This window comes from Homo sapiens, chromosome 4, assembly GCF_000001405.40.
Source record: "Homo sapiens chromosome 4, GRCh38.p14 Primary Assembly".
Lineage (NCBI taxonomy): Eukaryota > Metazoa > Chordata > Mammalia > Primates > Hominidae > Homo > Homo sapiens.
Window position 1 is genome coordinate 156,288,891 of NC_000004.12, and position 9,758 is coordinate 156,298,648.

At 37.9% G+C, this 9,758-nt stretch overlaps 1 annotated feature.

Moving 5' to 3' along the window:
- Positions 789–1,400: an enhancer, noted in NCBI's record as "OCT4-NANOG-H3K27ac-H3K4me1 hESC enhancer chr4:157210831-157211442 (GRCh37/hg19 assembly coordinates)". NCBI's record gives its function as "activates a minimal SCP1, AML or CMV promoter by ChIP-STARR-seq in primed H9 embryonic stem cells {active_cell/tissue: H9 hESC(primed)}" and the evidence as "EXISTENCE:reporter gene assay evidence [ECO:0000049][PMID:30033119]".

Sequence of the window (9,758 nt, forward strand, 5' to 3'; positions counted from 1 at the left end):
TTCTTTAAGAATGTTGAATATTGGCCCCCACTCTCTTCTGGCTTGTAGGGTTTCTGCCGAGAGATCCGCTGTTAGTCTTATGGGCTTCCCTTTGAGGGTAACCCGACCTTTCTCTCTGGCTGCCCTTAACATTTTTTCCTTCATTTCAACTTTGGTGAATCTGACAATGATGTGTCTTGGAGTTGCTCTTCTCGAGGAGTATCTTTGTGGCATTCTCTGTATTTCCTGAATCTGAACGTTGGCCTGACTTACTAGATTGGGGAAGTTCTTCTGGATAATATCCTGCAGAGTGTTTTCCAACTTAGTTCCATTCTCTCCATCACTTTCAGGTACACCAATCAGACATAGATTTGGTCTTTTCACATAGTCCCATATTTCTTGGAGGCTTTGCTCATTTCTTTTTATTCTTTTTTCTCCAAACTTCCCTTCTTGCTTCATTTCATTCATTTCATCTTCTATTGCTGATACCCTTTCTTCCAGTTGATTGCATCGGCTCCTGAGGCTTCTGCATTCTTCACGTAGTTCTCGAGCCTTGGTTTTCAGCTCCATCAGCTCCTTTAAGCACTTCTCTGTATTGGTTATTCTAGTTATACATTCTTCTAAATTTTTTTCAAAGTTTTCAACTTCTTTGCCTTTGGTTTGAATGTCTTCCCGTAGCTCAGAGTAATTTGATTGTCTGAAGCCTTCTTCTCTCAGCTCGTCAAAGTCATTCTCCATCCAGCTTTGTTCCGTTGCTGGTGAGGAACTGCGTTCCTTTGGAGGAGGAGAGACGCTCTGCGTTTTAGAGTTTCCAGTTCTTCTGTTCTGTTTTTTCCCCATCTTTGTGGTTTTATCTACTTTTGGTCTTTGATGATGGTGATGTACAGATGGGTTTTTGGTGTGGATGTCCTTTCTGTTTGTTAGTTTTCCTTCTAACAGACAGGACCCTCAGCTGCAGGTCTGTTGGAGTACCCTGCTGTGTGAGGTGTCAGTGTGCCCCTGCTGGGGGGTGCCTCCCAGTTACACTGCTCGGGGGTCAGGGGTCAGGGACCCACTTGAGGAGGCAGTCTGCCCATTCTCAGATCTCCAGCTGCCTGCTGGGAGAACCACTGCTCTCTTCAAAGCTGTCAGACAGGGACATTTAAGTCTGCAGAGGTTACTGCTGTCTTTTTGTTTGTCTGTGCCCTGCCCCCAGAGGTGGAGCCTACAGAGGCAGGCAGGCCTCCTTGAGCTGTGGTGGGCTCCACCCAGTTCGAGCTTCCAGGCTGCTTTTTTTACCTAAGCAAGCCTGGGCAATGGCCGGCGCCCCTCCCCCAGCCTCGCTGCCGCCTTGCAGTTTGATCTCAGACTGCTGTGCTAGGAATCAGCGAGACTCCGTGGGCGTAGAACCCTCCGAGCCAGGTGCGGGATATAATCTCGTGATGCGCCGTTTTTTAAGCCAGTCCGAAAAGCGCAATATTCGGGTGGGAGTGACCTGATTTTCCAGGTGCGTCCGTCACCCCTTTCTTTGACTCGGAAAGGGAACTCCCTGACCCTTGCACTTCCCAAGTGAGGCAGTGCCTCGCCCTGCTTCGGCTCGCGCACGGTGCGTGCACCCACTGACCTGCGCCCACTCTCTGGCACTCCCTAGTGAGATGAACCCGGTACCTCAGATGGAAATGCAGAAATCACCCGTCTTCTGCGTCACTCACGCTGGGAGCTGTATACCGGAGCTGTTCCTATTCGGCCATTGTCCAAGTTAGGTCAGCTTTCTTCCTGCTCTAGTCCCAACTCTCCATCATTTATTTCTTACCACAGTATATTTTAACACTAAGAAAAAATTGTTAACTTTATTAGGAAAGATGAAAAAATTTAGATTTTATGCACTTGCTTTGGTTTTAACCTTTCATTATACAACATGTCTCCTCTTTATCATAGCGCTTTTGCTTTAAGAAAAAGTTTGTGGCATAATTTAATGCTGTCTACTAATTTCTTATGCTCAATTGCTTAATAGGAGTAGCCTTATGGAACCCTCTCCACATAAATTCATTGGTTCATTTCTCTTGTACTTGTAACTGAGAATACCTAAGGATCTTCTGTACTTTTGTTAACAACCTCCCATCCTCAAATCTCTGACCACAACTATGGGCAGTGGCTCTTTACAACAGAAATAAGTTATTATTTTTATTAGGTTAAGCTGGAAGAAGCCTGCGACTTATAGTGGGAAAAACTCCTTTACTCGTACTCTAGGAATGAATTTTAATGGAGCCAAGACAAGCATTGTGTTCCTAAAAGAAGATTCATTTAATGGTGAAACCAAGTTAAAGGAATACATATTTATAAAATGTTATGTTTCAGACTTTTGAATGTGTACAAATATATTTTGCCTTTTTTTCCCCTAATTCTACAACATGGCTATTCTTTGGCTTAATTAAATATCTTAAACAAATGTGTGCTTGGTTTAAACAATAAGTCACAAAGCTATTTGCCAGCATTATTTTCAAATTGCATGTAGAATCTCTCCATCTTTATGTTAAAACTCATTCCAATGCACAGGCAGGACAAGATTGATGTAATTATTTAAACAGAAACAAAGAGGGTTCTGTTCATAGTTGCAAATCATATTGGTGCAAATCCACTGCCCTGGCACTGAGTGATGAGTGCTGTGGAGATAAGAGGTTGTAAGCACCAGAAAGAGTCATTTATGGAGTAATTCCAGGGAACTATAGCAGTACTTCAGATGCACAGCATTCCTTAAAGAAAGATCATTGATAGTAAGTCACACACACGAGTAATTTATGACTAAAAGCAAATAAAATAGCTTACAGATTTTCTCTATTTCCCTTTGAGGAGGAAAATGTTCTTTTCAGTTAACAATCAGAGGAATTAGAGTAAGAACAAAAAAAGTAAGGAGAGGAGAAGAGGTCTTAGTGACAACACACAGGATAAAATTAACAGTTTAAGAATAATTCGGTAGCTAGCTGAGTGAATATCCTTAATTTGATTGAAATTTACTTAGCTGGTTTTTCCCACTAATAATCTTAATGTTCTTAACAAAATGCAGCACAAAAGTTGATAGTGTTTACAGTTAGAAGCCTTACTTAAATAGTTACCCGAATGATTTGACAAGTTTCCACATATTAATGGAACTTTAACAAATTCATGATCATTTTAGACTATACTTTCCTCAAGAGAGTAGGAAATAATACTTCTACTTGAAATGTTTTATTTTCAGAGAAATGTTGTGGGATGAAATTAGATAACATATGTGAAATTTCTGTGCTAATAATAAAGAAATTTAAGTTCTGTTAATTTCAAATAAGCCTTCTATTCATATCTGTTGATATCTTGAAATTATGACAATCTATGTCTGCCTCCCTACTTCTTAGTTGCTACCGGCTTAATTTCAAATGTCTTAATTTAAATATTCTTAGATTATCCTTACGTATATTTTGAGTGTTCTCTTTCTCCTAAAATGATATAAAAAGCATTGAAAACACTGCTTGATAATGTGGATATATCAAAGCACATAAATTTCCTCATATAATTTTTAACATATTGATTTTTAGTTATTTCCTTACATTTTATTTTATTTTTCCAGGAAACAAATTTCTAACATTTTAGAAAAAAGTCATTTGTTACTGGCACAATGTTTTTCTCTGAGTTTTGTGTTATGGTCAAGGTATCCCACTCTGTGTGAAAGCCCTAACCCCAAATATTACTATCTTTGGAGACAGGACCTTTAAGAGGTGATTAAAGTTACACAAAGTCCTAAGGGTGCAGCCCTGCTCCGCTCCAATAGAATTAATGTGCTTGTTCTTTTTTTTTTTTTTTCTTTTTGAGATGGAGTTTCACTCTTGTTGCTCAGGCTGGGGTGCAGTGACTCGATCTTGGCTCACTGCAACCTCTGCCTCCTGGGTTCAAGCGACTCTCCTGCCTCAGCCTCCCGGGTAGCTAGGATTACAGGCATGCGCCACCACACTCAGCTAATTTTGTATTTTTCGTAGAGCTGGGGTTTCTCCATGTTGGTCAGGCTGGTCTCGAACTCCCAACCTCAGGTGATCCGCCCACTTCACCCTCCCAAAGTGCTAGGATTACAGGCGTGAGCCACCATGCCTGGCCTAATGTGCTTGTTCTTATAAGAGACACTAGAGAGCTCCCTTTGTCTTTCTCCCTGCCCTGTGAAGACATAGCAAGAAGGGCCACCATCTGCAAGTCAGAGAGAGAGAGCACTCACCAGGACCTGAGACAGCTGGCACCTTGTTCTTGGACTTCCAGCCTCAGAACTGTGAGAAATAAATATCGGCCACTTAAGCCACCCAATCTCTGGTATTTTGTTATGGCAGCTCAAACAGACTGAGACACTGAGATTAAATAATATAAAGGGATGTGAAGATAAAAGCATTTGAAAGACTCAGAAATCAATATTTTTTCACTTTCTTTACCGCATTGCAATAAATTCTCTCAACTCTTGTTCTCACTGGAAGGATATGAAATATCCTCATAATGTACTTGAATAATTATAAGATAATTGTGCAGATATGTTTTGAAAATATCAGATTTCAAGGTGAGCATTAACCTTATCATGAAAAGAATTTTCTTAATTTGCAGCATTTAAACTTTATTCTAGTTATTTACATTGACAAAAAACAATATCCAAGAAATTCTGAGCCTAAATCATTACAGTTGCCACCTTGCCATTTTTGTTGACCAAGTTTATTAATGCATGGGGATTGTAAGGGTAAATTAATCTACTCCACATGAAGTGGGTCCTGATTCAAGTTGGCAAATGTTCAACAGGATTTTTCATGGAGGCATAGATAGGATAAGAGTACCAGTAACCATTCAAATATTCAAGCATTTCTTTTTCAATTAGAGCTGTATTCTATAATTATCATCAAGCACTTTTAGCACTGTGTTTGCCAAAGGAATAGAAAGAACAACATTGCTGACAAATGTCACTAGGTTTAGAGTCCATTAATGAGCTTTTCTTAGAAACTGGCTTCTTTCAACTTGATCAGCTATGTCTCTTCTGATGATTTAAACATGGCTTTTTAAAGCTTAAAATCAAAACCTGGAGGTATAGTATAAATCACTGAAATGCAAGTTCTCGTAAATTGCATATTAATGGTTTAAAAAAATGACATGATTATTCTGTCTGTACTAAAGAACCTGAGAGCCTTTTCCATTTTACTTGTAGATTCTGTTTTTTCCTTTGGCTTGTGTCCAGTTAGGCCATGACATACATGAATCATCATTCCCTATAGACAAAGAATTTGCCTAAGCTGGAAAGAGAGATAAATACAGGGATGATGTCATAGACCAGAACTATGTCTAGAAAAAGATGAAGGGGATGGTTTCATTTTGCTTTAACATAATTTGACCTAAATATTCTATCACAAATTTTATTAGACAGTAATATAACCACAACTTTAAAGATAAGAAACTGAGACTTAGAAATACCTAATTATTCCTCATTAATACTGCTTATTAATGTTGATGTTAGAGTTAAATGTTAAGTCTGTCTATCTCCAATGCCAATGTTAACTTGCTTCTTTTATATAAACTCTACATGGAAACCGACCTCCTCGCTAATAAGAGCCTAATGTTAGTAAGCATTCTGTAACCAGATAGCAGGTCCCTGGGAATGTGGCAAAATGTGTACATTAAAAAAAAAAAAACATGTTCAGTAAAATTGACAGAAAGAAAAAAACTATTTTACCGTCTCATTTTTATGGCCATTTCATTTCAAGCCTTCTAGTATTTTTGTCCCTAGCTACTTGCAGCATCATTAGACAGCTTAGATATGGGAGCAGATCTACCAGCTTGGGTATGCTGGCTTCCGGGAAAACTAACCCAGCTCTAGCTGACGCAATGCATTAAGTATGGGGAACAAAATAGTTTCAAGCAAGTTGTCAGTGAGGGTCTGAGATAAAGTAATTGGTTTTCCAGTAGATGGCAGCAAAAGGAAAACATGGAAGGCAGTGTGCCTGAATATGAGCAGCTGGGTAGAATCAAAACTAGACAGGTGGCAGATTCAAGATCAAAAGGACATGAAATTCAGGGCACCAGTCACCAGGTGAGTTGACAATTATGAGTAAAGGAGAAAACAAGACCTAATAGGAAAATGGAGTAGTAAGTGTTCACCATCATGGAAATTATGTTGACCAAATTTCAACAGCAATTGGAGATCAGATTTGAGGATATCTACAGTTACAAAAGTAATTTCAATATTTAGCAGCAGATAAAAAGCATATGTGACTTGAGTCAATACCAAAGCATAAACAGTTATAGCTGATTAAACAACTCTTTGCATAGCAGACGCCAGGTGGTAATTGAATACCAAAGTGAGGTACCATCATCACACACAAACTGTAATTACTTTCTTTCCTTAATTCTTCTGTTGTTCTAACTCCATGTCCTCCCACCAATCTAACCATTCTCCTTCACTTTGAATTCTTCTTTCACCATTCTTCTCTCTTTGCACCAGTTCCTCACCATATTCTTGTGGTCATCTTGTATTGAAATGTAATTTATCATGGTAACAGGTAATTTGGGCAGTAACTGGATAGCCCAGGAGATTCTGTAATAACTGAACATTGGTAGAAAAAAGATGGATATACTTGCCCTTCTTCGTGCTTCAAATAATGTTCTCTAATTTCATGTCAATTAAACTGTGTTGTAACTGTTACTCAGTGATGAGCCCTTCTGTTAAATCATAGAAATCTTCCTACCATATCAGGAGATGAAATATTAACCTAAACTAGATGAACTATTAACCTAAACTATAACTAAGAATACTTAGTAAACATTATCTATCTGTTTAGGAAGTTTCTAGCAAGATAAAACTCTATCCCTTTATTCTTTGTTATTTAGGGTGGTGGGTGGAAGGCATTCAACTGAGAAGAAACCTCCTAAAAATTAATGTTCTCTTCTCCATTTATTTAACATGTTTCTGTACTTGCATTTTAAATATTCTGCTTGCCACTTCAGAATGAATAACACATGATTATGCAATCATACAGTGCTGGTCTAATCCTAGTAAGGTGCATGTAAAGTTCATCACAATGTAAAGTGATCAGCTTTACATGGCTGATGTATTTACAGTCATGATTTACAAACATGACACTGACTCTTATCAATATCAATGATATGGAGGAAATCCAGGGCCTTGGATTCCACATTTTCCTCAATGTAAGTGTGTTTTATTTGTTTGTTTTTCTGTTTGTTTTTGGAGAGCCTCCAAATGTTTAGATAACATCCACTGAATAGACGTTAAATTTCAAATAAAGTAACTGTGACATTTCCAAACAGTTTTTGAGTATGTGACTATAAATACATGATAAACCCTAAAAATAATAGTTAATTCATTTAAAAAAACTAATGATAAACATATCTTTTTAATCAAATTCCATCCTAATTTTTTTTAAATATTTGCTATATTGAAATGATAGTATATCTAGAACATTTAATATATTTTTCTCTTTCATCGATATGCACATACCCTGGCTGAGTTGATTAGTTTCAAGCCTAAATAAACATAGCAACATTTTTCATACCTTGCAGCAGGGATCAACCAACTTTTTTTCTATAAAAGGCCAAATAGTAAGCATTTCATCTTTGTGAGACAGACAGCCTCTGTTGCAATTACTTAACTCTACAGTTGTAGTATGAATGGCAGCCACAGATAATATTTAAATGATGGACATGTTATATTAGATTGATGCAAAAGTAATTGCAGTTTTTGCCATTAATAGTAATGACAAAAACCACAATTATTTTGCACCAACCTAACAGTACAATAAATCTATCTTTACGAAATTTAAGCACCAGACTGGATTTGGTCCATAGGCTGACCCCTCCACTGGAGTTTCTATCTCTTACTGTTTTTGACCTTAAATCACCTCCCATAACTTTATCAATGTTATATGCATCTATATAACTTTTATCATCATATGGAATAGTTGTACATATTTGCATCCCTGATATCTTACTAGGCTTATATAAGTGTTTGTGGTCATCTGGCCTACTCTTCTCTTCCAGTTTTACAGATAACAATGTTGGGACTAATGGTATGTTTAAAAGAAGGGAAAAACTCTATCTCCCATAACCATTTTTCTTTCTCCTCAATTTTCACATAAAACAGTCTCTTGGAAGACCAAGGCCATTTATAAGGTAATGAAAATGATAAAGAAATAATACCGGGTAGTCACAAGAGAATGGAAAATTCCAGGCAACAGGTTCACATGACTAGCAAAAGGAAACTGTTGAAATAGCTGCAGAAGTTAAGGGCTGATAAAACCCTGAAAAATAGTGTGGGCCAAGCTGGCTAAGATGGACTCGACCCAACATGGGCTGGATTTGACATAGGTTTCACATGGGACCTCATTATACGCTCATTAACATACAAATCTCATACCCACCAGTGTCATGACAGTTCTGGGAACACCCATATTTTGCGGAAAAATGGGTGACACTACAGTTTCAAGAAATCTGTATCTTTTTCCAGGAATCTTCATAAATTTTCCACTTCTTGGATTAAAAAAAAAAACAAACATAAATGTAGCAGCTCCAAACCCCCTTTTGTGTGTCTGTCTCTTGAGTATTCCTGCACTCCCCTTTCTTGAGTGTCACTTTACAATAAATCTCCATACTTTTACTATTTTCTGACGCATCCTTGAATTTATTCTCATGACATGTCAAGAGCGGGACTCCTCCTGGAGTCCAGGTCCCACCAATGTCTAGGAACCTCCCCTTGGCCACTGGTATCAGAATGTTAGATGAGAGAAGACCTTAGTGGTCATTTAGTGTAAGTTTCTATTTTGCAGATGAAGATACTGGGATACAAAGATTAAGTGATTTCTCAAACCAATTCACATAGGCAAAGCAAAACAAAACTTTGGAGTTGAAGTTATGCCTTTAACTTTCTGGTATAATGTCCTACTCACAATTCTCAATAATATCTTAAACAAGAATATAGGATAAGGAAATAAAATAGGTGCAGCCTAACACCCTGGCTATTACCAACGTTCAAACAATGTTGTTTCATTCCTCTGCCACGTTCTGAAACGGACTCAGAATAAACTTGCATTTCCCACAACTTTGTCAAGTATTGACAAACGTTGACAACATATATAATGCCCATTATAGGGCAGTATATACTTATTAAAGTGTAAGGAGCATATTTTATTGTAATTTTAGCAAGGGAAGCTGCATAGTCATGTCTTGAAATAGTAAATCTGTAACAGGAAGCTTTGAGGAGGGGGGAACTAATTCATTTGTGTAAAGCTCCTCGTGATCTCTTCAGGGTTTATAACAACCCACCTCTGATCTGCATGTTAGAGAATTGCATAAGTTGTGAACAATAAGGACATATCTTTTAGAAAAAGGGAAAATCAGGCTAGTTTTGATTATAGTATGTGCATGTGTTTCTGTATGTGTGTGTGTGTTTTCCCCTGTGAGCATGTGGAGATGAGCAGAGTGTGTGGAATGTGATCTCCAGGAGGGTACCAGAAGCTGGATGTGAGGTTGCTAGGCAATTTTCCCTATTGTTTTAAACAAACTGCACAGGCCTGGCAGCAGCTGTCAGAGTTCCTGGCTCTTAAGAATAACAGAGCTGAAAAACACAAAGAACAAAGTCTTCCACAATAAATGGCAATAAATAACAGGAACTTTCTATGCCAGTAAATGCAGGCACTTGGATGTTAAAGCAATTAATAAGGTTAACAAACACAAGAGGCCATTTGAATTCTATTTGTTGTCAAATACTTCTTCCCCCTAGATACTTTAATTTAAATGGT